The sequence below is a fragment of the Homo sapiens genome, chromosome 16, assembly GCF_000001405.40.
Source record: "Homo sapiens chromosome 16, GRCh38.p14 Primary Assembly".
Lineage (NCBI taxonomy): Eukaryota > Metazoa > Chordata > Mammalia > Primates > Hominidae > Homo > Homo sapiens.
The window spans coordinates 2,061,501-2,088,416 of NC_000016.10; the positions used below are offsets into that span (position 1 = coordinate 2,061,501).

At 61.3% G+C, this 26,916-nt stretch overlaps 1 protein-coding gene across 52 annotated transcripts in view, besides 2 other annotated features; it reads left to right on the forward strand.

Moving 5' to 3' along the window:
- Window positions 1-26,916, forward strand: part of TSC2 (TSC complex subunit 2) — a 41,507-nt gene that overhangs the window by 13,516 nt on the left and 1,075 nt on the right. For 11 of the 52 annotated variants that reach the window (NM_001406668.1, NM_001406687.1, NM_001406697.1 and 8 more), the window contains 28 exons: window positions 371-508; window positions 997-1,100; window positions 1,472-1,553; window positions 2,772-2,927; window positions 4,019-4,135; window positions 8,956-9,078; window positions 10,010-10,116; window positions 10,284-10,434; window positions 10,741-10,863; window positions 11,349-11,483; window positions 12,700-12,889; window positions 14,299-14,392; window positions 14,568-14,670; window positions 14,991-15,085; window positions 17,535-17,696; window positions 17,776-17,928; window positions 18,057-18,169; window positions 18,665-18,877; window positions 20,095-20,298; window positions 22,195-22,316; window positions 22,728-23,215; window positions 23,451-23,526; window positions 23,730-23,822; window positions 24,693-24,879; window positions 25,232-25,371; window positions 26,363-26,441; window positions 26,548-26,639; window positions 26,727-26,825. In NM_001406668.1, coding sequence (NP_001393597.1) covers window positions 371-508; window positions 997-1,100; window positions 1,472-1,553; window positions 2,772-2,927; window positions 4,019-4,135; window positions 8,956-9,078; window positions 10,010-10,116; window positions 10,284-10,434; window positions 10,741-10,863; window positions 11,349-11,483; window positions 12,700-12,889; window positions 14,299-14,392; window positions 14,568-14,670; window positions 14,991-15,085; window positions 17,535-17,696; window positions 17,776-17,928; window positions 18,057-18,169; window positions 18,665-18,877; window positions 20,095-20,298; window positions 22,195-22,316; window positions 22,728-23,215; window positions 23,451-23,526; window positions 23,730-23,822; window positions 24,693-24,879; window positions 25,232-25,371; window positions 26,363-26,441; window positions 26,548-26,639; window positions 26,727-26,825 — 3,939 coding nt within the window. Of the gene's footprint in view, window positions 1-370; window positions 509-996; window positions 1,101-1,471; window positions 1,554-2,771; window positions 2,928-4,018; window positions 4,136-7,057; window positions 7,277-8,955; window positions 9,079-10,009; window positions 10,117-10,283; window positions 10,435-10,700; window positions 10,864-11,348; window positions 11,484-12,699; window positions 12,890-14,298; window positions 14,393-14,567; window positions 14,671-14,990; window positions 15,086-16,097; window positions 16,227-17,531; window positions 17,697-17,775; window positions 17,929-18,056; window positions 18,170-18,664; window positions 18,878-20,094; window positions 20,299-20,935; window positions 21,059-22,194; window positions 22,317-22,727; window positions 23,216-23,450; window positions 23,527-23,729; window positions 23,823-24,692; window positions 24,880-25,231; window positions 25,372-26,362; window positions 26,442-26,547; window positions 26,640-26,726; window positions 26,826-26,916 lie in introns of all 52 variants that reach the window. The other 41 variants (NM_001406693.1, NM_001406667.1, NM_001406692.1 and 38 more) reach the window with 20 other exon arrangements.
- Window positions 7,554-7,785: a silencer, noted in NCBI's record as "fragment chr16:2119055-2119286 (GRCh37/hg19 assembly coordinates)". NCBI's record gives its function as "represses an EF-1alpha promoter that drives an FKBP-Casp9 reporter gene in an ReSE screen in HepG2 liver carcinoma cells {active_cell/tissue: HepG2}" and the evidence as "EXISTENCE:reporter gene assay evidence [ECO:0000049][PMID:32094911]".
- Window positions 16,922-17,631: an enhancer, noted in NCBI's record as "H3K27ac-H3K4me1 hESC enhancer chr16:2128423-2129132 (GRCh37/hg19 assembly coordinates)". NCBI's record gives its function as "activates a minimal SCP1, AML or CMV promoter by ChIP-STARR-seq in naive H9 embryonic stem cells {active_cell/tissue: H9 hESC(naive)}" and the evidence as "EXISTENCE:reporter gene assay evidence [ECO:0000049][PMID:30033119]".

Below are 26,916 nucleotides of genomic sequence, written 5' to 3' on the forward strand. Positions count from 1 at the left end.
GGCTACTCTTGGCCCTCCTGCCCGAGCTTCCTTCTTGGCCCAGCTGCATGGGCACAGCCAAGATTCCTTGGGGGGTGGGGTACGGGCAGGAACAGCAGCTGCCATCACAGCCACTGTGGCCCCTTGAGAGGATCTGGGGGGTGTCCTGGGCCACGTGGGTCAGGGTGGCCCCTGGAGAGGATCTGGGGGTGTCTCAACCCATGAGGCCCGGAGCGGCCTCAGAGGGCTGGGGGCGTCTGTCCCCATGCGGCCCAGAGCGGCCTGAGAGGGCTGAGGGTGTCTCCATGCGGTGGGTGTGTAGCGAGGCCTCTGGTGCCAAGTCCATGTGGGGAGTGGAAGTCAGCCTGTGTCATCGTGCCTGGTACTGCAGACCTTGGACAGCCCGGAGCTCAGGACCATCGTCCATGACCTGTTGACCACGGTGGAGGAGCTGTGTGACCAGAACGAGTTCCACGGGTCTCAGGAGAGATACTTTGAACTGGTGGAGAGATGTGCGGACCAGAGGCCTGTGAGACCCCCTCCTGGGTGGGGCCTTTGGGCTTTGGCTGGTGGGGAGGGGCCGGGTGCTGGGTGAAGTGCAGCTTTCTGAGCCTCAGAAGCCAAGGGCCAGGTGGGCGCCTGCTTTCCAGGTTTCTGCACTCGGCAGGGAAGGCTGGCAGGCACAGCACGTGTTTGGTAACAAGCTCGGGGCTAGCCCACCCATCAGTTTCCTCCCACCTGTGTGGAGCAAGCTTCCATCCGGCTCTGTAGAGTCCTGTGGCTCCCAGGCGGCCGCAGTCATTTTGCCAGGAACACTCAGCTTAGGGCCCAGGCTTTTCCATGGGTTTGGACACAAGTCTTCCCCGCTGCCAGGAGTGCCTTTGTGTCTGGGCTGTGGGCTGCAGGCTGTGAGGCGGCTGGGCTCTGACAGCAAACCAGCCTCTCGACCAGCAGCCCAGTGTGGAGAAGGAGAGCGCCGGAGGGGCAGAGGGGCAACACCGGCTCTTCTTTTGACAGGAGTCCTCCCTCCTGAACCTGATCTCCTATAGAGCGCAGTCCATCCACCCGGCCAAGGACGGCTGGATTCAGAACCTGCAGGCGCTGATGGAGAGATTCTTCAGGTAGGGGGTCCTCTGTAGCCTTGCCTGGCACCTGGAGCCTGGCCCTGTCTCTGTCTGGGGCCCACCCGGGCTGGGTCTCAGGATGCCCGATGAGCAGGGCCCTCCCCTCTGCCTCTGGAGAGCCCTGGCTCTGGGTGAGCAGGTGCTAGCTTGCTTTCCAGTCCAGCAGGACAGGTCCTCTCATGACGCCACTGGGCTCCCTCTTTTCGGGGGTCGTCTGGAGAGATGCTCCCTGGGAAGCAGAGCTCTGTGCCCTGTGTGCCTGGCCGCGGGAGGACCCAGAGTCGGGCTGGCCTGCGCCAGGCAGACGGGCTGGTGTGGGGCTGTGGCCGGGCACTCCCCACCCGCCCCAGCAGGCTGCCGTCCCGCAGGAGCGAGTCCCGAGGCGCCGTGCGCATCAAGGTGCTGGACGTGCTGTCCTTTGTGCTGCTCATCAACAGGCAGTTCTATGAGGTGCGTGTCCAGGCGGCCGCAGCTGGGGGCTCAGGGCTATTTCTCCGTGGGCGGGCTGTCTCTGTTGTGCACGTGCTCCCGCAGAGCCGGGCTCTGCCTGGGACTTCGGTCCTGCCGGACCCTCTGCAGCCCCCAGCGTGGTCTGTTTACCCCTGTTCATTCACTGGCTTGCTCGTCCTGGGTGCCTCTGCCAGGCCTTGACACGTGGCCAAGTAGCAAGGAAGGCACAGTGCCTGCCCTCAGGGAGCTCCGGCCGGTTTTCACCCAACACAGGAGCCTCTTAAAAATTCTGTGTGAGTTCGTTTCAGCCAGTCTTGCATGGGGACATTGTCTTCCGTTTCAGTCCTGACGTTCACCCTGTGCACCTGCGTGATCGCCAGCCCTGCCTGGTCTCTCCTCTGCGGGCTCTCCCTCTCCACTCCCTCCTCTGGGAGCTCTGTGGCCCCAGGCCCACCTTCCTTGAGAGACATTTGTGTGCCTGCCAGTCATACCCCTTTCCCAGGAGGCGCAGCTTAGGCTCTGAGGCTGTCCCTTCCCACCGAACTCCTCCCTGCAGCCTCGCAGTCCTGCCCTCCTGAGAGCTGCCCACTCTGCTCCTCTCCCCAGCGTCCACTGTCCTTGAATTGCCCTTTGCTGGGCATTGCGATCCCGCATTCTGTCTGAGGGAGCTAAGGGCCTCCTGGAAGTTCCTCTGGGTCCTCTGGCTTCTCCCATCAGGGCTGGTCTTGTCCTGGTCTCTGTTCCTGTGGAACTTTTTACCTGCTTCTGTGAAAACTCACGCTGTCCTCAGCACAGCACGCACACACACGCATATTCACGCATGCACAGGCACACACGTGCACATGCCCACGCGTGCACACAGCCACACACACCCTCACGCACACACGCACAGCACCATGTGGGAGGGGTTCTCGGCTGTGACAGTGAAGGGCAGGGCCTCACCTCGGCTGCTCCTTGTGAGTTGTGGGCCCCGTGTCTGTGCCCGGCCGCCCTGCGGTGCTCACCAGCCTTCTGAACGAGGAGCTGGACAGGATCCCTGGAAGGGGCCCCGGGGTCTCTGAGTCGCGCTCAGCGGGTGCTTGTGCTCTCTGCCCAGCTGTGCTGAAGTCCCGAGGGACATGTCCGCTGCTTGCGGGTCGGTTCCTGAGGAATTGGAAGTGTCACGAGATGTGGCCCTCGTTGGGCTGGCGCTCATTGGCCTCCCTTGTGCCTGTGCAGGAGGAGCTGATTAACTCAGTGGTCATCTCGCAGCTCTCCCACATCCCCGAGGATAAAGACCACCAGGTCCGAAAGCTGGCCACCCAGTTGCTGGTGGACCTGGCAGAGGGCTGCCACACACACCACTTCAACAGCCTGCTGGACATCATCGAGAAGGTGAGAGCCGTTGTACCCGGGGCCGGGTGCTAGCGTGCCAGAGCTCCGTGGGCAGCAATGGCCTCTGGGCCCTCTGTCCTCCTCTTCGAGTGACCGGATGGCTGTGTCCGTAGGTGAGGCTCCCCTCCCTGCAGGGTGGGTGTCCCGAGGCCTGTGCAGGGCCTGCCACTGCTGGATTTGTGTCCTGACTGAAAGTCCTGGACATGGGTGTCCTGTCACACTCTGGGACAGCTGGGCTGGGCCTCCTGGACCGACGCTGGAGCCCAGACCTGGGGCTGGGGCTTTGGCCTGCCGTCCTCCCTGCCCAGCCAACAGCTTTGCTCTTTGATTTTCAGATGCATTTTGGTTTCTGCACAGTCACTCGGGTATAAAGGGCATCTTTGCTTTTGAGCAATAAAGATGAAGGCCGGGCACAGTGGCTCACGCCTGTAATCCCAGCATTTTGGGAGGCTGAGGCAGGTGGATTGCTTGAGTTCAGGAGTTCAAGACCAGCCTGGCCAACATGGTGAAATCCTGTCTCTACTAAAAATATAAAAATTAGCTGCACGTGGTGGCGGGCACCTGCAATCCCAGCTGCTCAGGAGGCTGAGGCAGGAGAATCGCTTGAACCTAGGAGGTGAAGGTTGCAGTGAGCCAAGATTCTGCCACTGCACTCCAGCCTGGACGACAGAGCAAGACTCTGTCTCAAAAAGAAAAAAAAAAAGGGCCGGGCACGGTGGCTCATGCCTGTAATCCCAGCACTTTGGGAGGCCAAGGCAGGCGGATCATGAGGTCAGGAGATCAAGACCATCCTGGCTAACACGGTGAAACCCCATCTCTACTAAAAATACAAAAAATTAGCTGGGCGTGGTGGCGGGCGCCTGTAGTCCTAGCTACTGGGGAGGCTGAGGCAGGAGAATGGCGTGAACCTGGGAGGCGGAGCTTGTAGTGAGCTGAGATTGTGCCACCGCACTCCAGCCTGGGCGACAGAGCAAGACTCGATCTCAAAAAAAAAAAAAAAAAAAAAAAAGGTGTTTGTGGTAGAAAGTGTTCTCACGGCTGCTGACTCAGAACCATGAGCCTGTGTGTAAGTCCTGGCCTTCTCTTCAAAGGTGATGGCCCGCTCCCTCTCCCCACCCCCGGAGCTGGAAGAAAGGGATGTGGCCGCATACTCGGCCTCCTTGGAGGATGTGAAGACAGCCGTCCTGGGGCTTCTGGTCATCCTTCAGGTGGGTGTTCTGCACGAGGCCTCTGCTCCCGGGGCGCGCATGGCTAGCGTCCACCAGCTGCATCTGCGTTGTGTTGGAGTCTGTTCCCCAGCGGGACCCACACCCTCCCTGGATTTGCTGAGGGTGCGGTGGTCTCAGCAGGCAGCAGAACCTTCCTCCTGCTCTTGTGGAGGGATGGATGCAAGAGGCCCCGTTGTACGCCCTGACCAGAGCTTGTCTCTGTGCTCCTGAGTCAGGGCCGGAACCATGTACCATCCTCAGCGTGGCGCTTGCCCTCGTCACCCAGCACAGCACCTGGGAAGTAAGGGTGGCCCTCCATTCCTGCCCTGCAGTCCGTTTAATATTTGCAGCTGTTTTGTTGAGATTTAATTTACATATCATGCAATTTACCCATTCACAGTGAACAGTTCAGTGGTTTTCAGTAAATTCACAGAGCTCTGCAGCCAACCCCACAGTCAGCTTGAGAACCTCCTGAGCATACCAGTAGCACACGCTCCCATCCCCCGTTGCTCCCGTACCCCCGGGTACCATCAAGCTGCTTCCTGTCTCTGTGGATTTACCTACTCTCAACATTTCATGGAAGTGGAATCACACAAAATTCATCCATAAGATGTTGGATGGTAGAACAGTTTCCTGTCTGCTGACTGGATTGTTCCACCCAGCGCCATGTGTCCAGGCCCGTCCAGGCTGTGGCAGCTGTTGGTGCTCCCCTCCTTTTCATGGCTGAGTAGTATTCCATCATCTGGAAGGAGCACATTTTGTCTGTCCGTTCCTCCATTGGTGGACATTTGGCCTGTGTCCGCCTTGCAGCTGCGGTGAGTGGTGCTGCTGTGAACCTTCTCCTACGAGGGCTCCGCCGGGCCTGCATTTTCACTTTTGGGTCTGCACCTAGGAGTGAATTGTTGGGCCCTAGGTTTAGTCTGCATTTGGTGTTTCAAGGCGATACCAGGCTGTTTTCCACTGGTGCTGTGCCATTTTCCATCCACTCGAGCAGCATGTAAGGGTTCTGATTTATCTTTTTTTTTTTTTTTTTTTTTTTTGATACAGTCTCACTCTGTCGCCCAGGCTGGAGTGGAGTGCAGTGGCGCGATCTTGGCTCACTGCAACCTTCGCCTCTTGGGTTCAGGCGATTCTCCTACCTCAGCCTCCTGAGCATCTCGTATTACAGGCACCTGCCAACATACTCGGCTAATTTTTTGTATTATTAGTAGAAACTGGGTTTCACCATGTTGGCCAGGCTGGTCTTGAACTCCTGACCTCAGGTGATCCTCCCGCCTTGGCCTCCCAAAGTGCTGGGATTACAGGTGTGAGCCACCACGCCCGGCCTGCCTCTACTTTTCAAAGCCTCACAGCATCACTTACGTGTGACTGTCAGTGTCAGTATCGTGTAAAATATAATGTATGAATCAGTTTGCTCAAAAGCTCATCCTTAAGATGTTGGATGGTAGAACAATTTCCTGTCATGTTTATATGTCATGGGTTTTTATTTCTTGCCATGGAAGTTGAAAGTGGTGATGATTTTTTTTTTTAATTAATTTTTTGAGACAAGATCTCACTCTGTCGCCCAGGCTGGGGTGCAGTGCTGTGACCATAGCTCAGTGCAGCCTTGAACTCCTGTGACCAAGTGATCGTCCTGCCTCGGAGGCCTCCCAAGTAGCTGGGACCATAGGCACACGTCACCACACCTGGCTAATTTTTTCATTTTTTGTAGAGATGGGGTCTTTATATGTTGCCCAGCCTGGCATCAACCTCCTGGCCTCAAGCAGTTCTCCCACCATAGCCTCCCAAAGTGCTGGGATTACAGGCATGAGCCACCACACCTGGCCGTGGTGTTTGATTAAAAACCAGGCATCAGCCGGGTGTGGTGGCTCATGCCCGTAATCCCAGCACTTTGGGAGGCTGAGGTGGGTGGATCACCTGAGGTTGGGAGTTCAAGACCAGCCTGACCAACATGGAGAAACCCCGTCTCTACTAAAAATACAAAATTAGCCGGGCGTGGTGGCGCATGCCTGTAGTCCCAGCTACTCGGGAGGCTGAGGCAGGAGAATCACTTGAACCCATGAGGCAGAGGGTACAGTAAGCCCAGATCACGCCATTGCACTCCAGCCTAGGCAACAAGAATGAAACAACGTCTCAAAAACAAAACAAAGCAAAAACAGGCATCACCTCCTTGGTGTCTCATCCACATGAGCACCATGCTCTTTACTGACTGGTTGGGAAGGGGTGTGCTGGGCTGTGGGGGCCTATGGCCTGGGAGAACTGAGAACCTTTCTGCTTCTGCAGAGGGAAGGAAAGAGGTTCTGTTGCCCTTACTTGGAACTCCAGCCCTGGAGGCCTGAGGGTCTGGGCTGCAGAACTGAGATATTTCCTAGTTGAGGCAGAGTCCTGGTTCTGGCTGCTTTCATTTCTTTATTTTTTTGAGATAGAGTCTCACCACTATGTCACCCAGGCTGGAGTGCAGCGGCACGATCTCACCTCACTGCAACCTCCGCCTCCCAGGTTCAAGCAATTCTCTTGCCTCAGCCTCCTGAGTAGCTGAGATGACAGGTGCGCACCACCACACCTGGCTAATTTTTGTATTTTTAGTAGTGACATGGTTTCACCATGTTGGCCAGGCTGGTCTCAATCTCCTGACCTCAAGTGATCCACCCACCCCAGACCCCCAAAGTGTTGGGATTACAGGCGTGAGCCATCGTGCCTGGCCTGTTTTCATTTCTTTTGTTATAATTGAAAAGTAACACAGTTGACTCTTGAACAGTATGGGGCTGGGAGTGCCAGCCCCTGTGCAGGTGAAAATCCCCATCTAACTTTTAACTCCCCAGAAACTTTACCAACAGCCCTCTGTTGACTAGAAGCCTTGCTGATAGCAGACAGTCTATTAATGTACAGCTCGTGTGTTTTATGTATTCTGTGTTTTTACAGTGAAGTAAGCTAGAGAAAAGCAAATGCTGTTAAGATGCTAGGCATGGTGACTCACGCCTGTAATCCTGGCAGTTTGGGAGGCCGAGGCGGGCAGATCATGAGGCCAGGAGTTCGAGACCAGCCTGACCAACATGGTGAAACCCCGTCTCTACTAAAAATACAAAAATTAGCTGGATGCGGTGGTGCGCACCTGTAATCCCAGCTACTCGGGAGGCTGAGGTAGGAGAATCACTTGAACCTGGGAGGTGGAGGTTGCAGTGACCTGAGATCGTGCCATAGCACTCCAGCCTGGGCGACAGAGAAAGACTCCGTCTCAAAAAAAAAAAAAAAAAAAAATCATAAGGAAGCGAAAATACATTTCCTGTTCCTTAAGTGGAAGTGGCTCATCACCAAGGTCTTCATTGTTGTCATCCTCATGTTGAGGGGACTGAGGAGGAAGGAGAGGAGACACATGGTCTTGCTCTCTCGGGTGGGAGAGGCGGAAGAAAATTGGCATGTAAGTGACCCATGAAGGCCAGCCTCGTGCTGTTCGAGGGTCAGAGAGTTTGCACAATGGACACGGTGACAAGTTTGATTCCCCTTTTCCTGCCTGCCTAGTGGGCCCGGCAGGGCGGCAGCTGCTGTTGGTTCCATGTGGCCTTCCCAGAATGGGGGGTGCCAGGCACTGTGTGAACCCCCACCTCCACCTCTTTTTTGTCCGAGGAAGGGATGTTGCTTTTATGTCATAATATTTTGAGATGAGGAGAAACTGTTAATCATTTAATCATCTTTTTTTTTGAGATGGAGTCTCGCTCTGTCGCCCCAGCTGGAGTGCAGTGGCGCAATCTTGGTTCACTGCAACCTCCGCCTCCTGGGTTCAAGCGATTCTCCTGCCTCAGTCTCCTGAGTAGCTGGGATTTACAGGCATGCACCACCACACCTGGCTAATTTTTTTTTTTTTTTGAGACAGTCTTGCTCTGTCGCCCAGGCTGGAGTGCAGTGGCACGATCTCGGCTCACTGCAAGCTCTGCCTCCTGGGTTCACGCCATTCTCCTGCCTCAGCCTCCCAAGTAGCTGGGACTACAGGTGCCCACCACCACGCCCGGCTAATTTTTTTGTGTTTTTAGTAGAGACAGGGTTTCACCATGTTAGCCAGGATGGTCTTGATCTCCTGACCTCATGATCCACCCGCCTCGGCTTCCCAAAGTGCTGGGATTACAGGCGTGAGCCACTGTGCCCGGCCTAATTTTGTATTTTTAGTAGAGATGGGCTTTCTCCATGTAGGTCAGGCTGGTCTTGAACTCCTAACTTCGTGATCCACCCACTTCAGCCTCCCAAAGTGCTGGGATTACAGGCGTGAGCCACCACACCTGGCCTCAGTCATTTCTTTCAATGATTTTTTAATCATTTAAAGGTGTTAATCATTTCTTTAAAAGAATAACAGTGTAACCACTTACCTCCAGAGTGCTGCAAAGGGTCCCTCAGGCCAGATTTCCCCTGGCTCCTGCTGGCCTCGGCCCCAGGGTTGCTGGAGGCAACAGATGCTCTTCACACCTTGCCACACGTGTCTGGGAGGTGCCCTTGACCTTTTGGGAGGGGCTGCCTACACCTGGGATCGCCCTGCAGCACACACTCCCCGCCCCATTCTGCCCTGTCTGCCACGCAGCTGGAGCTTCTCCATTGAATGGACTCTTCCTCACCTGTTGATGACTGCCCTGATGATGAGATGGGCACGAGGTTGGGTTTTACTTTTTGCTGCTGTGGAGAGAGAGTCCTGGTGGTCCTGGGTTTGAAGGTCGTGTGTTTTGAAGCACGCACTCTAGAGCAGCCGCCCCGGCCCCTGCTCCGGGACAAGGGTGCTGTCTTAGGACTGCGTTTTCACCTCCTGCGCCGTGGTGAGCTGCGTCCTCTCTCTGCAGACCAAGCTGTACACCCTGCCTGCAAGCCACGCCACGCGTGTGTATGAGATGCTGGTCAGCCACATTCAGCTCCACTACAAGCACAGCTACACCCTGCCAATCGCGAGCAGCATCCGGCTGCAGGTATGGTGGCTGGGGTTGCGCAGCCAGTTCCTGGGGGCCCAGCCAGGTATCCCCGTCTCGGCAGGTGTGGTTCCTGGAAGCTGCAGAGACGGCCCCAGGATGGGGCCTCAGCTGACCGTCCCTCCTCTGCACCCACTGTGGCCGCAGCCTCCCCAGTCCTGGTGTCCTTCCCTCTGCCTGCAGTCCACACATCTGTGGCTTGTCGCTCTAAGCCGCACGGTGACATGGGTTGGGGCAGAGAAAAGGACGCACGGCGACTTCCGGGGCAGTGCATGGCCCTGACGCTCCTGGTGCTGCAGAATCTGTGAAGGACCTGCAGCAGAGGGCTGGGCAGGTGGGCGGCACAGGGCAGAGCTGAGAGGGCAGAGCTGAGACGGCAGGGCAGGGCTGGAGAGGGCAGAGCTGAGAGGGCAGGGCAGGGATGGGCAGAACAGGGCTGGAGGAGTTTCGCTGAGTTTGCGCTATAGATGTTGGCACCAGGCTGAGCAGAGGTGACTGGGATGGGAGCCCTCCCTCCTAGAGCAGGTGCTCTCTGGGGCCACCCCTGTGGCCTCAGAGTCCTGTTCAGCCTGTCGATGGAAGAAGTGGCAGGGCTGGGAGCTGAGCTCCGCTTTCTGGCAGTTGGGGGCGTGTGGTGCTGCCAGAGGAGCGAGGCGCCCATCCCTTCCATCCCAGGCGGGCCCAGCTGTGGTGGTGGGGACACCAGGCTCTGTGAGCTCCGAGGCAAGGGAGGGAGGAGGCTGTGGGTGCTGGGCCTCCGGTGTCACCAGGACAGAGCCTGTGTCTGTGTTGGGATGTGGGTGTGTGCACATCAGCAGGTGGCCTTTTCTGAGTGCCTGTGGTGCTGGACGTGGGTCTGAGCAGGTGGGACGCCGCCTGTCCTGGGCCTGCACGAGCTTGGCTCTGGCTTTCACCATCCTCTTCCTGACAGGCCTTTGACTTCCTGTTGCTGCTGCGGGCCGACTCACTGCACCGCCTGGGCCTGCCCAACAAGGATGGAGTCGTGCGGTTCAGCCCCTACTGCGTCTGCGACTACATGTACGCGGGACCTCGCCCACGGCCCATGAGGCTCAGGGCGTCAGAGGCGCTGGGGCTGTGGTGGCGCTGTTTGCATGTCTGAGGGATGTCCCAGGGTTGGGAAGAGCCAAGTCTGTTCCGTTCCTGCTGCGGGGACTTGGCCTCAGCTGCTTCTCTTGCTTCTGCAGGGAGCCAGAGAGAGGCTCTGAGAAGAAGACCAGCGGCCCCCTTTCTCCTCCCACAGGGCCTCCTGGCCCGGCGCCTGCAGGCCCCGCCGTGCGGCTGGGGTCCGTGCCCTACTCCCTGCTCTTCCGCGTCCTGCTGCAGTGCTTGAAGCAGGTGAGTGGGGCCGGGCAGGGACCATCCGTCCCACGTTGGGCCAGGAGGACAGGGAGCTGCCACCTGCCTGCTGGGCCTCCCTCCCTGTCTGGCCTGTGGAGGGCAGCCCTCCCTCAGAGCTGAGCCTTCCCCCTTCCCCGAGCAGCTGCAGGGACAGAGGCCTGCGCTGGGCAGGCTCCCCCGGCTGAGAACAGGGCTCCATAGCCCTTGACGCTGTGCAGCCACAAAGCAGAGCCTCAGATGCTAGCTTCCGCCTCTGTCTCTAGGGTCCAGAAGGCCCTGTCCTGACGCCTCCTCTCCTCGCAGGAGTCTGACTGGAAGGTGCTGAAGCTGGTTCTGGGCAGGCTGCCTGAGTCCCTGCGCTATAAAGTGCTCATCTTTACTTCCCCTTGCAGTGTGGACCAGCTGTGCTCTGCTCTCTGCTCCATGGTACCATGGCCGGCCTGGGGTTGGGGTGGGGGACCCAGTAGGGTTTTTCCCCAAAAGACTGCGAGCCTCTGGGCAGAGCGAGTGAGACCCTTCGGGCTCGGGCTCCATTTCCCTCAAACTCAGCTGCACTCTGGAGCGCAGATTGTGCCTTGGGCAGGGTGGAGGGACCCCTGCCCCAGCTCGCAGCTTTTGGGACTGACGTCAGAGGTCCCCAGCCAAGGGCATGTCACTGAATGTGGATGTCTCCCATCTGTGCTTTTCCTAAGTGGGGCTCCCGTGCCGTTCACCTCACATTCCTGGTGTGTTACTTGGCAGGCACTCCCACCACTCCGAAAGGGAGGCCCTTCCTGGGAGGGAGGCAAGAAGGCTCCCCAGCCCCTTTGCCCCCTTTCCTGGGCCTGCGTTCCCAGGGCCTCCCCAGCCCCTCTGGCTACCCCGTGACCTGGCCGCTGGGGAGAGGTTTCATGCCTGGATTTGGTCATCAGCTTTCAGGCCCAAAGACACTGGAGCGGCTCCGAGGCGCCCCAGAAGGCTTCTCCAGAACTGACTTGCACCTGGCCGTGGTTCCAGTGCTGACAGCATTAATCTCTTACCATAACTACCTGGACAAAACCAAACAGGTAGGAGGTCAGAGCAGGACAGGCGAGCTTGATGGGGCCTGGGATTCGAGGGCCTGGCCCAGGTAGGCCCCACATTTTTCTCATAAACGAGTTTCTGCCAGGCCAGGGATGAGTGAGTTGGCTCTGCTTCCCTGGGTGGCTGCCAGATGCCCAGAGTGGGGACATCCGATTCCCTGGTGCTTCTAGCTCTCTTTGGGGCCTGGGAGCCATCCAGTGTTCCCTGTCCACCCCGGACAGCATCTCTGCTCTCTGTAGAGCGTTGCCTGGCTTGTTCCTGCTGTCCCAAGGGGGAGGTGGCCATGCCGGTTGGTGGAGCTGGGCTGGTTCTGAGGCGCAGGGTGGGCAGGCCAGAGAGTCTGGCTTCTGCCTCCCTCCACGCCCCATCAGGTGCCGGAAACTGTCCCTTCACCTGCGATCTGCCTCGCCCCCGTCCCAGTCGCATTCTTCCACACCTCTCTTTGACATGGCCCTCCGGGACGAGGAGCTGGTGTCCTAGAGATTCTGGCCTCCGCTCAGGGCCATGCCCGCCAGGAGATGCTGACTCTGAGGCTTGGCCCATCTGTGCCCCGGGCCTCAGCTTCTGATGGTGGCCCTGTAGGGAGCTGTTGTTGGGTTCCCATCCCTCAGGCTCAGCCCCACCCTGTTGGGCCCCTTCAGCCCCTCTGAGAGGCTCACTGGGTCCTCATGGGTCTTGCCTCAAAGCATAGCCAGCCTTGCTGGGCTGCAGGTTCTGAGGCCTTACTGGCCCACAGTGTATCCGAGGGGTGAGGCCGGCTTTGGGAAATGGAAGCTGTTCCCGGGACACTGCCTGGCAGGCCATCTGGCCCCGGGCTCTGCCTGAGCTCCGCTCATCTTCTGCTGTCCTCATGGAAGACACTGCCCAGGGTTGGTGTGGGATCTGGTGGCTTGGCCACTTCAGGCAGCACTGCCCCTTGCAACAGAGCCAGCCTGTGAAGGGCCCAGAACCAGGGGATGAGAGCCCAGCATGTCTGGGTTCTGTTGGCCTGTGGGATCGTGTCGGAATGCAACTGACCGGAGCAGTCTGCTGTGCAGAGTCTGCTCGGGTAGCTCAGCACTGCTGGCTCTGCCCCACAGGCATTCAGGGACTTGCTAAGCCTCGGCTGTTCTCCCGGTGGAGCACTCGAGGTTGGCGAGGGGTAGGCGAGGCTGCCTCTGCTGCAAGCGGGTGGGGCCTGAGGTGTCCTGTCTCCTGCAGCGCGAGATGGTCTACTGCCTGGAGCAGGGCCTCATCCACCGCTGTGCCAGCCAGTGCGTCGTGGCCTTGTCCATCTGCAGCGTGGAGATGCCTGACATCATCATCAAGGCGCTGCCTGTTCTGGTGGTGAAGCTCACGCACATCTCAGCCACAGCCAGCATGGCCGTCCCACTGCTGGAGTTCCTGTCCAGTGAGTCCCCGCCCTGCCTGCGCATGCACCCGAGAGGTTCGGGCTGTGTAACCTGTGCGGGCTTCTCTGGTGCCCTCTCTCAGGACTCCTTGGGGAACCTGGGTGTCTCGCCTTCTGCTGCCTCAGGGCCTGGGCGTCTCTGCCCGGCTGCCATGAGTGCTCTCCTTCCTGGCTTTGAGGGGCGGCTCCTCTCACCCCTCTAGTGTCCATGTGAACGCTCCTCCTTGAAGAAGCCTCTTCCCCCCCGAGCAGTGGCCCTCCCCTGGTTTTGGGCCTCCTCTCTGTCCAACAGAGCACACGCCGCTTCAGGGGGGCTTTGTTCGCTTCCCCCAGACTGTGACTTCAGGAGCTCAGGTGCCTGTCCCTTCCCCTCACCGCCTGTGCGCATCTGGGCAGGCCCTCAATGTTGAGATGGCAGAAGGGCACTGCTGGGCCCGCACTTGGTGTAGAGGCTGGAGAGAAGATCGTGTGTGCTTTGTGGGCCACATGCAGGTCCTGTCGGTCTTTCTGTTTTGTTGATAACCCTTTAGAAGTGTAGAAGCCTGGCCAGGCGCGGTGGCTCAGGCCTGTCATCCCAGCACTGTGGGAGGCCGAGGCGGGTGGATCACCTGAGGTCAGGAGTTCGAGACCAGCCTGGCCAACCTGGCGAAACCCTGTCTCTACTAAGAATACAAAAATTAGCCGGGTGTGGTGGCGGGTGCCTGTAGTCCCAGCTACTCAGGAGGCTAAGGCAGGAGGCAGGAGAATCTCATGAACCCAGGAGGTGGAGCTTCTAGTGAGCTGAGATCACGCCACCGCACTCCAGCCTGGGCAACAGAGCGAGACACCGTCTCAAAAAAAAAAAAGAGAGAAGTGAGGCCGGGCACGGTGGCTCACGCCTGTAATCCCAGCACTTTCGGAGGCCGAGGCAGGCGGATCATGAGGTCAGGAGATCGAGACCATCTGGCGAACACGGTGAAACCCCGTCTCTAATAAAAATACAAAAAAACTAGCCAGGCGTGGTGGCGGGCGCCTGTAGTCCCAGCTACTTGGGAGGCTGAGGCAGGAGAATGGCGTGAACCCAGGGGGTGGAGCTTGCAGTGAGCCGGGATCGCGCCACTGCACTCCAGCCTGGGCGACAGAGCCAGACTCATCTCAAAAAAAAAAAAAAAAAAAAAAAAAGAGGTGCGGAAGCCTTTCCTCACGGATCACACAAATGGTAGGCGACAGCTCGAATTGGCCCAGAAGCTGTGGTTGGCTGGCCATGGGACCGAGAGTTGAGGCCAGGGTCGGGAAAGCCACGTCCGTGTGGCCGTGGCCTTCTCTCCTCTGCAGCACCCCATCGCTGCCGTGGGCAGAGCAGCCGTGTTGGCCTTCAGAGGCGCTGCACGGGACCCCGGCTCCCCTGACCACCCTCTCCATTACCGCAGCTCTGGCCAGGCTGCCGCACCTCTACAGGAACTTTGCCGCGGAGCAGTATGCCAGTGTGTTCGCCATCTCCCTGCCGTACACCAACCCCTCCAAGTGAGTGGTCGCCCCAGGCCCTGTGCCTCCCAGCCGTGGCCCCCGCTAGGCCTTGCGGCAGAAAGCCCCGGCAGCCTTTGTCCCCAAGGCCTGAGCGCCTCGGTTTTTTGCACTTCATGCCCTGGGGATGTTTCCCTGCTGCCAGGATGGAGTGCCAGCCCCCTTCTCATCTCAGGTTTAATCAGTACATCGTGTGTCTGGCCCATCACGTCATAGCCATGTGGTTCATCAGGTGCCGCCTGCCCTTCCGGAAGGATTTTGTCCCTTTCATCACTAAGGTGGGCTCAGGGCCGGTGAAGGCTGTGTCTCTCGGTAGGCCAGGGCTTGCTTTGCCCTTGGCTGTCCATGGTCGGGCAGAGTGACAGGCAGGTGGAGGGCAGTGGGAGGGTGTTTGGGGCTGTGCCTGTGGCGCTGGGGGCTCTGCTGGGCAGCCTGCAGGGCTTTGATGCGCGGCAGGCATTGAGGGGTGGGAGCTGGGTGCCGCCGCCTTGCCCCTAGCCTGCAGCTTGTCCCTGGCCAGGGGGCACCCGGCAGGCCTGGTGAGGGCCTCCAGCCCCCATTGCCACCCCTCACTGTCTGGGTGTGCTCACTCTGCCAGGGCCTGCGGTCCAATGTCCTCTTGTCTTTTGATGACACCCCCGAGAAGGACAGCTTCAGGGCCCGGAGTACTAGTCTCAACGAGAGACCCAAGAGGTACGGCCTGCGGGGGTGTGCCTGGAGTCGGTGTGGGGTGGGGAAGGACATGGGGCTGTGGCCTGCCTGACGGTGCCTCCAAGTCAGTGAGTGGAAATGGGTCCTGTGTGCCCTGGAGTATGTGAGGCAGGGCAGGACCTGCAAGGGCCGCTAACACCCCTCAGCCCCTCAGCAGGTTGGCCGTGGTGGCCTGGGTCCGGGCTGCGTGTGCCACGGGCACCTACTTGTGGAATTGGGGGTTGGGGTGCAAGCTTTAGGCGCCTGAGCCCCTCGAAGGAGCCGGCCTTGTCTGGGGCTGCCCCCTCCTCTGCAGCCCCCAGCCTGCTGCTAGCCGGGGACTCTGCTTCATCACCGCCGCCTTGCCGGACCGCAAAGAGCTGAGCCAGCCTCTGTGTTCTTGTTTGCATTTCATTTGAACGGCTTTCTCCTCCTGTCCCCCACCTTCCTGCCCGAGCTATTTTGGCTTTCCCTAGATGGGAATACGGCATTTTCCAGCGTGACCTCAACTCGGAAGCTGTTGTCTCCAGCCCCTGGGGGCCGGGGGCCAAGCTCGGCCATTACGGCCAGAGACTACTTTCTGGGGTCTTGGTCTCTTTTCCTAGTGACCTTCAGGGCCTGGCCACTGAGGCCTCAGTGCCGCCTCGGTCAGAGCTGGGCGGTGCCTGCCTTCCGCGGGTGGGTGGGATTGCCTGGCCAGCACAGCCTGGAATCTGCCGTGGGGGTGACCCACACACGTTTAATTTGCACTGACGTTGTTTGTTTTGGTGTCATGCGTGAAGCCTTACTTGTTCTCAGTCATGTTTACCAGACGTATTATCATGCATTTTTGTTTTCTGTCTCTTCCCCGCTAACTGCCCTTTGGCATGGCTCTTTTTGCTCATCTCACCCGCGGGATCTCTCCATCCTGACCCTGTGGCCTGGGACCTTTCCTCCTCACCCCTCCACTGGCTTGTTCTCCCCTTCCCGGGAGCTGGGCTCTCTGGGGCGTTGGGGCTCCTTCCTCACCCGATAGTCTGAGGATAGCCAGACCCCCCAAACAAGGCTTGAATAACTCTCCACCCGTGAAAGAATTCAAGGAGAGCTCTGCAGCCGAGGCCTTCCGGTGCCGCAGCATCAGTGTGTCTGAACATGTGGTCCGCAGGTAGCGGGACTGTCGGGTGGGGGGCACGGACCCTGGAGCTTGGCCCCGTGAGCACCTGGGTGGCAGTGCATGGGGCTGCTTGCATGACCTCATCGTCTGCCCGTGTCCTCCCTGGCCAGCCCAGGGGGAGCCGGTGACGAGGGGTGGAAAGGTTGCATTCTGTCCCCAGGCCCCGTATGAGCACGGGCTGGTTGCACGCATCCCCAGGCCCCCTCGGGGTGCCGCTCCGAGAGAGCCAGGCGTGCCGGGCAGCAGCCTCCCCAGGCTGTCCCCAAGGGCCGCAGTGTGGGTTGGGGGAGACACCACTCCTGGTTTTGGCCTTTTCGTATTCTCTAGAATGGACGTTTTTCTTCGGGCTTTCTTCTCAACAAGGTTTATTTTTTGTTGTAGCTGAAAGGGAACAAGGGGCATTTGTGGAGGGTGCTGGGGTGGGGCAGCCTGGGAGGGCCTGGGTGGGGGCTAGGATCCTGCAGGGCATGGGCATGGGCCTGGGCCCCAGGCCATGGTCTTAGTTCTCCCCGCAGTGTCTGGGTGCAGGTGTGGGCTCTCGGGCTCTCGGCTGTCACCTGCCTGTGGGTCATCGCTGCTGGCACTGGCAGAGGGGATACCTGTCTCCTCCTGGAAGCCCGTTGCAGGCCAAGGGGTCCCATGGCCCTCAGTCCATCCACCTCCTCACCTCAGGCCGGCCTCTGCTGGGTGGGACTTGGCCAGGGGTTGGGGTGGTAGAGGTGCTCGGTGAGGCTTAAAGCCATTTTCTAGCACATTCTGTATCATGAGCAAAATATTGCCTAGGGGCTATGAAATTTGTATCAGAATGAACTCCCATAAGCCTCTTCCCTGTCACTGGGTGTGGAGCTCAGGCAGCCGCTCGCCTGCCTGAGGGTGACGGTGGAAGGCCACATGGGGATCCCAGACCTCTGTGTGCTTGCCGGAGGCAGCCTGCGGGCAGAATGCAATCTGGGCCTGTCTGTGTGGCCTCCGCCTCTCTGCATGACTACACCGTTTCGCCAGGAGGCCGTAACCTAGTGCTCCCGTGGGCTTCGGTGAGGGGGATGTCGGTCTCTAGCCTCCTGAGTCTGCTCCGACCAGTAGGCCTGGTCTTCCCCACCCAGCGTCTCCCCGTTCTCTGGGACAATGTGGTCCACGTGATTCTCAAGCTGAGGCTCGCTGGGCCGCCCACGCCCTGTTGGGGTCTTTCCGAGCGAGGTCCTCAGCCGTGCATGCGTTGAGCTTTGGCCCTTGGTGATAGGTGGCTCGGCCCGCCCTACCTGGCACCCTGACCCTGGTCACGGCCTCTCCCTCCAGCAGGATACAGACGTCCCTCACCAGTGCCAGCTTGGGGTCTGCAGATGAGAACTCCGTGGCCCAGGCTGACGATAGCCTGAAAAACCTCCACCTGGAGCTCACGGAAACCTGTCTGGACATGATGGCTCGATACGTCTTCTCCAACTTCACGGCTGTCCCGAAGAGGTCCAGGCGGCACTACAGGGCTGGGCGGGCCTGCGGGAGCTCCACGGGCAAGCTGGGTTTCACGCTCCCTGTCTTCTAGGTCTCCTGTGGGCGAGTTCCTCCTAGCGGGTGGCAGGACCAAAACCTGGCTGGTTGGGAACAAGCTTGTCACTGTGACGACAAGCGTGGGAACCGGGACCCGGTCGTTACTAGGCCTGGACTCGGGGGAGCTGCAGTCCGGCCCGGAGTCGAGGTGACTGCACCTTCCTTTCCTCCGCGCCTGCCAGCCTCGACACCGGCTGTCCCGAGCCCAGGCCCACGTGGCACCCTCGTACCAGCCTGGGGACTAAGTCCACCCTGTGCGTGGGATTCTCTTCTCAGCTCCAGCCCCGGGGTGCATGTGAGACAGACCAAGGAGGCGCCGGCCAAGCTGGAGTCCCAGGCTGGGCAGCAGGTGTCCCGTGGGGCCCGGGATCGGGTCCGTTCCATGTCGGGTGAGCCTTGGCCCCAGCCACCTCCACACAGGCACCGGGGCTCCCTCAGTTGCTGCTGGTCCCAGTGTTCAGGAAGGCCCCGAGCCCAGGGGCCGGGGTGGCTGGCTTCAGGCCCGGCCCACGTCCTGACTCTGGGGTGAGCCTTCCACAGCTCACCCCAGAGCCGTGGAGTGGTGGAGTGTGGCCCGCTTGCTGCAGAGGGGCCTGCTCTGGGTGCTGGTGTTTCCTGCGGGTTTTCAGCTCGGCTCAGTCCTGGAGCCCTTCTCTGCTCCAGCGAGCCGTGGTCTGACTGCAGGACAGGTTCTGGGTCCCTCCCTGTGGCCCTGGGTTCACTGAGGCCAGCACTGTGGTGGGCCGTGCCCCAAGGGCAGAGCTGCCACCGTCTCTGGCTGCCTGTGGCACTAGCTTGCCAGGCTCGGGGGGAGCATTCAGCTTGAGGCTGGTGGTTTTGCATCAGGTAAGTGGTGGTCACCAGTCCTCTGCCCTCTTCTTCAGGGGGCCATGGTCTTCGAGTTGGCGCCCTGGACGTGCCGGCCTCCCAGTTCCTGGGCAGTGCCACTTCTCCAGGACCACGGACTGCACCAGCCGCGAAACCTGAGAAGGCCTCAGCTGGCACCCGGGTTCCTGTGCAGGAGAAGACGAACCTGGCGGCCTATGTGCCCCTGCTGACCCAGGGCTGGGCGGAGATCCTGGTCCGGAGGCCCACAGGTACTGGGCGGGGCTGGCCTGAGCGCCATCTTTCTGCCAGTCACCCACAGAGCTGTGGACACTCAGGGGCGATTGCAGACTTGGCCCTCTTGGGATATTTGGGGGTAACTTTTGTTTTTTTTTTGAGACAGAGTCTTGCTCTGTGGCCCACGCTGGAACGCAGTGGCGCAATCTCGGCTCACTGCAAGCTCCACCTCCCGGGTTCACGCCATTCTCCTGCCTCAGCCTCCCGAGTAGCTGGGACCACAGGCGCCCGCCACCACGCCTGGCCAATTTTTTTGTATTTCTAGTAGAGATGGGGTTTCACTGTGTTAGCCAGGATGGTCTCAATCTCCTGACCTCGTGATCCGCCCGCCTTGGCCTCCCAAAGTGCTGGGATTACAGGCGTGAGCCACCGCGCCCAGCCATTTGGGGGTAACTTGTAAGTCTCCAGAGGTGAGCTGTGAGGGGCGATCCAGGTGGCTGAGGTGGGGCAGGGGCCTGTGGCGAACCAAGTGACTTCCATGGCAGAGAGTTGCCCTCCCCGCCTGGAGGCTGCAAGTCCGAGACCAAGGTGCTCCTCGGCAGGAGGTGCTCCTCAGAGGCCTCAATCCTTGGCATGCAGTTGGTTTTTTCCCTGTGTCCTCACAGGCTCTTTCCTGGATGTCTGCGTGTTAATCTCCTCTTGGGAGGAAACCGGTCATGGCTTAGGGTCCGCTCTGGTCCCTTGCTAGCCGTAATTAGCTTTCTGAAACCCAGTCTCCAGAGACAGTCCCGTTCTGAGTTCCTGGGGTTGGGACTAAAGCATACCAACATGGGGGCACAGCTCAGCCTGTTCCCAGGGGCAGAGGGAGCCCCCGCAGAGGCCCAGAGCCCAGGGACAGAGGGAGGCCTTTGCAGAGGCCCAGAGCCCAGGGGCGCCTGGGTGTGCCGTGGCTGAGGGGTGCAAAGAGTAGGGGTTCCAGCCCTCGTGGAGGCCTTGGGTCCGGACTGTGAGGCTGTGGGCTGGAGGCCGCTGCTCTGAGGTGCCTGGCGGAGCCTGGCCTCGAGGCAGGGGCTGAGCGGGGCAGCAGGGTGGGTGGCCGTCAGAGCAGCGCTGGCTCCGACATCGTGGTCCTGAGGATTGTGGGAGGGAGCATGAGGGCAAAACCAGGGCCCAGGCCAGGAGGCCCCTGGGGGGCCAGAGATGGGTAAGGGGAGGTACTGGCCTCAGGCCAAAGGTGCTGCCGCCTCCGCAGGGAACACCAGCTGGCTGATGAGCCTGGAGAACCCGCTCAGCCCTTTCTCCTCGGACATCAACAACATGCCCCTGCAGGAGCTGTCTAACGCCCTCATGGCGGCTGAGCGCTTCAAGGAGCACCGGGACACAGCCCTGTACAAGTCACTGTCGGTGCCGGCAGCCAGCACGGCCAAACCCCCTCCTCTGCCTCGCTCCAACACAGGTGAGTGGCATGGCGGGCCTTGGCACGGGCTCTGCTCCCACTGGCCTGGTGCTCCCGGTGACGGCAATGTGGCTCCTCTCTGCTGAGGGCGCCCACACGGCTGGGAGTGGTCCCTGGCCTGCCTCAGCACCATTGTTCTCCGGTGTTTGGGAGGAGGCTGACCCGTGGGAGGTGTCTGCCCTGCTCAGGAAGCTGGGGCTGGCAGCTTCAGAAGCAGTAGGGGCCCTGTGGAGCCTCTGCCCAGCATCCTCCGTGGGGAGTCCAGCACTGCGGGCTCCAGGAGGCTCTGCGGCAGCCTCCCTCCCTGCCTGGGCCCAGGTTTGGACACCTGAGCCCGCCTGCGCACTCTGGGCCCCCACCCCACTCGGCACCGTGCTTCTCGCCAGGCCCTCTGGCTCTTCCCTGTGGCTGCAGATGGCACTTAGCGGCCTAGGACGTCTATTCACGGGAGGAGGGAGGCACTGCCCTCCTCAGGTCTGCCCAAGCAGCTTGTAGCTAGCACTGGGCCCCGTGCGCGCCCCTGCCGGCCGCTGGCCCTGCCCTCTCTCCTCTGCAGGCACGGGGCCTGTGCTCTCTGCTCGACCTGTGTGTAGCCCCTCCTCCTGCTGACGTGGCCGCACACGGCCTTCCCTTGCAGTGGCCTCTTTCTCCTCCCTGTACCAGTCCAGCTGCCAAGGACAGCTGCACAGGAGCGTTTCCTGGGCAGGTATCGCCTCTCAGAGGGAAGCGGTTGGCTGCAGAGCGCCACTCTGCCTCATAGGTGCTGTGCTCGTCGCCTCATCCGCCCACCCCCATGGTCCGTCTGCCTCCATTGCCCTGGGGAGCAGGTCCCGACTCGCATGAGGACGTCTGTGCAGAATGTCTTTGGCTTGGCCAGCGGGATCCCCTTGACTTGGTCCCTTTGTGGCTGAGCCCTGTTCCCACGCTGTGCGAGCACTCCCGGCCCAGCTTCAGGCCTGAGGGGTGGGGGTGGCCTGAGTCTCCATGGTGACATCAGCTGAGCTGCAGACTCTGATGGGTGGCAGCTGTTTAGGGGGAAGCCCACCCCTGGGCCTGCACCGAGCGGGCCTTGCCCTGGCCTTTGGTGGCTCCCCTGGCCTCTGGAACCCACAGATGGGGCTGCCTCAAGTCCCAGGTTGACCAGGGGCCCTGCAGACCGACCTCTGCCTGTTGCCCCCAAGCCCTGGTGGGGAGTGCTGTGACCTGCATGGTGCTCCCCTGCCAGGTCTCCACGTGCAGACGAGCTGGTTTGGAAGGGCTGCGTGGGACGGGCCCTGGGGTGGCTGACTGCGCGTGTGCAGGGCTGTGGGGCGCCCGGGGGCTGTGATGGTCCCCTCTGTTGCTGCTTCTACTTCCTCTCCCCCTGTCCTGACGCTGGCACAGGAAATGCTGCTTTGGGACCTCCCACCCTCTCTCCTTAGCGTCCCCAGCTGTGGGTCTGGCTTGGAGTTGGAGGGTGAGCCTCTGCTCTTGGGAGCAGTCTGTTTGCAAACAGGGACTTCCCCCACGTCACGGAGTCTCCGCAGCTCTCCTCGGTTACGAGGGCTGGTTTCAGGCTCCCGCTCTTTTAGAGCTGAGGCCCGTCGGGCGGAGAGCGTCTTGCCCCTGCCTACCTGGAGGCACAGGGGTGGCTGCTGGTGGACACTAGGGTGGGCAGAGCCGATTGCCTGCCCAACCCCCGGGCACTCATGCAGGAGAGGCCTGTGTCGGGGTCACGTGCAGGCCTTCCCAGCGTCCTCCCTGCCCGCTCGGTGGATGGCAGCAGTAAGCAGAGCCCTGGGGAGGCTCGCAGGGCTGCTGTCCCTCTGGTCAGGAGAAGGCTGGTTCTCGGAGGCCACGTCAGGGCCAGGGCCTGGCCCAGCCCCACATCCAGCAGCCCCGTCTGTGTCCTCCCAGACTCCGCCGTGGTCATGGAGGAGGGAAGTCCGGGCGAGGTTCCTGTGCTGGTGGAGCCCCCAGGGTTGGAGGACGTTGAGGCAGCGCTAGGCATGGACAGGCGCACGGATGCCTACAGCAGGGTGAGTGTGGCTCAGAGCCTGGACCCTGCTGACCTCGGGGGGCTCCTTAGGGGAGGCAGGGCTCTGCGTGGGTGTGCCTGCACCCTGGGAACTGGCTCTGAACTTGGGGGAGATGTTCTTCCACATCCCTCGTGCACAGACGGTCTGCACTTTGCAGCCATCCACCTGGGCCGGCCCTGGCTGCTGGGCAGCCTGTGGTCTCAGGGGATGCTGATACCTCTGCTCACGCAGTGTGGGGCACAGCTGGTGGCAGTGCTGCTGCGTCAACGGGCGGGGGCCGTAGCCTGGTGCTCGGGCTGGTCTGTGGCCCTGGGATGGAGGACAGATAGGGCCTCACCACCTCCAGGTCAACCCCAGGTGGGCTCGAGGGTGCCTGCTGACAGGGGTTCTCTTTGGGATGGTCCTTTCTAGTCGTCCTCAGTCTCCAGCCAGGAGGAGAAGTCGCTCCACGCGGAGGAGCTGGTTGGCAGGGGCATCCCCATCGAGCGAGTCGTCTCCTCGGAGGGTGGCCGGCCCTCTGTGGACCTCTCCTTCCAGCCCTCGCAGCCCCTGAGCAAGTCCAGCTCCTCTCCCGAGCTGCAGACTCTGCAGGACATCCTCGGGGACCCTGGGGACAAGGCCGACGTGGGCCGGCTGAGCCCTGAGGTTAAGGCCCGGTCACAGTCAGGGACCCTGGACGGGGAAAGTGCTGCCTGGTCGGCCTCGGGCGAAGACAGTCGGGGCCAGCCCGAGGGTCCCTTGCCTTCCAGCTCCCCCCGCTCGCCCAGTGGCCTCCGGCCCCGAGGTTACACCATCTCCGACTCGGCCCCATCACGCAGGGGCAAGAGAGTAGAGAGGGACGCCTTAAAGAGCAGAGCCACAGCCTCCAATGCAGAGAAAGTGCCAGGCATCAACCCCAGGTGGGCCTCTTGCTTCCGGGCGGGGCTCCTGACACCTCTCCTGCGGGAACCTGGTGCCTCACTTGCCCCAGGCCGAGCGGGCTGGGGTGGGGTCCTCGCCTGTGCCCTAGGGCTGGCTGGAACCCCTGGGAGGGCGGTGGAGTGGGAGATGGCCAGGCTCTGTGTTCCTCCCTGTGGGCTGTGGCTGCCCTGGCCAGGCCCTCACCTGGGTGCCCACCATCCCCTCCCTGTGCAGTTTCGTGTTCCTGCAGCTCTACCATTCCCCCTTCTTTGGCGACGAGTCAAACAAGCCAATCCTGCTGCCCAATGAGGTAGGCGTGGCCTCCCTCTCCTGCATCCGCTGGAGCTGTGTGGCTCGGGTGAATGGTGGGGGGCCCAGCTCTGCTGCTGGGAGCTCAGGCTTGCAGAGGGCTCTGGCCTAAGCTCCCTGTGGCAGCCTGCCGTGACCGGCCTGGGTGGGGCGGCCTCCTGTGGACGGGCGTCTGGGGCTCAGGCAGGGCTCTGTGTGCCACAGTCACAGTCCTTTGAGCGGTCGGTGCAGCTCCTCGACCAGATCCCATCATACGACACCCACAAGATCGCCGTCCTGTATGTTGGAGAAGGCCAGGTGAGGCTGCGGGGCCGGCCTAGGTGCCTGGACAGGGCCAGCTGGGCCTCAGCCTGCAGTGGGTAGGGAGTCTGGGCCCCCAACGCCCCACAGAGCTCAACACTGCCGGGTCCCCTACAGCATGAAGTGCTCATTGAGCTCTGTGCCAGGTGCTGCTCTGAGTGCTGGGGACCCCGGTGCGAGTGACAGGTTAGCGTGGGAGCACCCGGCACACCAAGGAGTGGGAAGGACTGGGCGGGTGGCACCGGTCGCAGGGCTGGGGAGGGCGCTGTTGGTCAGTGAGCTGACAGCTGAGTGGTGAGGGAGCGGGCAGGGGGAGCCTGCATAAGGGGTGGGGGCATCCCACACACCAGCAGCGGGGGCCGGGCGCACCCTGCCCAGCTTGAGCACTGGTGCTGGGCGAGCACGGGAGCCGACAGGATGGGCAGCCTCAGCGCCCTATAGGCTGCACCTTCATCCCAAGGGAAAGGGCAGGGCCTGGGCTGCTTCTGAGCAGAGGGCACATGGCCTGACTCCGCCCAGTCTCAGTGAGTCCCTCCTGCTGTGTGGCTCGAGGAGGTGGGTGGTGATGGTTCCCGTGGGAGTGGGGTAGGCCCCTGGGGGCAGGCTGCTGAGGGGCCAGGGCCCCGGGTGTGCTTTGAGTGTGGAGCTCCCTGATTTTGCCGGCCAGGCACACACGGGGCTGAGGGAAGAGAGGGAGTCAAGGATGACACCCGATGTCTGGCCTGGGTGGCTGCTGGAATGGATGGTCTTGTCTGCCTCAGGGATCAGAGTGGGGCTCCCGGCAGAGCCTGCTGGGCACCCCCACCCTCTGCGGGGCAGGGCCCGGCCCGGGAGTGATGCCACCCTGCCTCTCCCCTCTCCCCACAGAGCAACAGCGAGCTCGCCATCCTGTCCAATGAGCATGGCTCCTACAGGTACACGGAGTTCCTGACGGGCCTGGGCCGGCTCATCGAGCTGAAGGACTGCCAGCCGGACAAGGTGTACCTGGGAGGCCTGGACGTGTGTGGTGAGGACGGCCAGTTCACCTACTGCTGGCACGATGACATCATGCAAGGTACGGCCTGGCGCCTACCCGCTCCTGCTGCCCCAGGCCTCAGGGCACGGCTCCCATCCAGTCCTGCTACCCCACGCCCTGGGGCATGGCCCTGGCACCCCCACCTGCTCCAGCTCCCCACGCCTCAGGTTCCGAGCCTAACAGCGTGGGCATGGAGGCAGTGATGGGGCTGGTGGCTTTGCGTCCCAAAGCCCTGCCCCTGGGGAGAGCCGAGGACCACTGGCCAGGCACCAGAGGACGTGGTCCCCGCAGGCCCCCAGAGCCCCTGGAGTAATCAGGAGGTGCCCCAGTGCAAGGCACAGAGGGCCTCAGCACTGGCCCCACAAACCCATCCGGCCCTGCTCACCCTCAGCCGTCTTCCACATCGCCACCCTGATGCCCACCAAGGACGTGGACAAGCACCGCTGCGACAAGAAGCGCCACCTGGGCAACGACTTTGTGTCCATTGTCTACAATGACTCCGGTGAGGACTTCAAGCTTGGCACCATCAAGGTGAGTGAGGGGCCGTCAGTGAGGCTGGGCCCCAGGCAGGTGCCCACTGCTGTGTCCCGGGTTGGTGGCAGGTCCTCCTCCCTGAGCTTCGGTCACGAGGAGCAGGAGGAGAGGCCGCAGTGCTCAGGGCCCCGTGGGCACGAGCTTCACCCCGAGCCTGCGTTGTGTCCTCTGTGCCCTGAAGCCTGTGGCGCCTGCTGCTGAGTGTCTGTCAGGAGTAACTGGCAAGTGCAGACTGGGTGTGCTGGGTGGGCACAGTGTAGTTGGTGCTTCCTGTCTGTCCGGCGCGGCCCTTGGGCCCCCACCATCTCCCCAGTGGCAGCTGTCAGGCTGCTCAGTTGGTTATCGCCACGCACCACTAGGCAGCAACCAGCGTCACCCTCTTCCTGGAGGTGGGCTGGGTCGGCCAGTGTCACAGCACGGTCCGGGTGAGCCCCAGCATGGCGGGGAGAGCTGGCATGGCCCAGGCAGGGCAGATAGGCTGGAGGCCTCACTCCAAGGGCCCCAGGATGCTGAGGCAGCCACTGAACCAAAACCCCGGGGCTGGTAGTCAGAGTCCAGGAGGGGCAGGAGCATAGGGAGGTGGGCTCTGCTAGATGCCAAGACAACCAGTTGGGGGGGGGGGGGCACCTGGGCGGCTGAGGAGGGTGTGGTGGTGCCGAGATGGGGTGCACGGCTCACTTCATGGCTGGGCAGACGGATTCGGACGTGTGGCTGCAGACACCCTGGGGGCCCCAGTGAGTGGAGGTGCCCCAGCAATTAGAGGTGTCTTGCCTGTGGCTGCAGCATATGTGGGTGCTGCGCCCAGATGTGGAGGGGGCTTGGCCTGGGGGAGGCCAGACAAACACAGCCCCGCTGCCAGAGGGGAAAGTTCAGGGGCAGATGCTGCCCATGGAGCTGACAGGTGTCTAGCAGTGCAACCAGGCAGTAGCCGAGATCAGCCTTCAGCACACGCTGTGTGCGGGGATGACCCTTTCTCTTGTCCGGGCAGGGCCAGTTCAACTTTGTCCACGTGATCGTCACCCCGCTGGACTACGAGTGCAACCTGGTGTCCCTGCAGTGCAGGAAAGGTAGGGCCGGGTGGGGCCCTGCAGTGCAGGAAAGGTAGGGCCGGGTGGGGCCCTGCAGTGTGGCGCCAAGAGCCCTGGGCCTGGCGTGACCACCAAGTCTCCCCAGACATGGAGGGCCTTGTGGACACCAGCGTGGCCAAGATCGTGTCTGACCGCAACCTGCCCTTCGTGGCCCGCCAGATGGCCCTGCACGCAAATGTGAGTGGGGGTGGGTCCAGGCGTGAGCTGGTGGGACAGGCCCAGGTGCCACCTGATAGTGAGCTCACCCCCTGCCTACGTCCCCAGATGGCCTCACAGGTGCATCATAGCCGCTCCAACCCCACCGATATCTACCCCTCCAAGTGGATTGCCCGGCTCCGCCACATCAAGCGGCTCCGCCAGCGGGTAGGGAATATGGGGCTCCCTCAGCGGGGTGTGCTGGCTGCCCAAGCTGTGGGGCGGGTGTGTGGGCAGAGCGGTTGCCACGCCTCCCAGA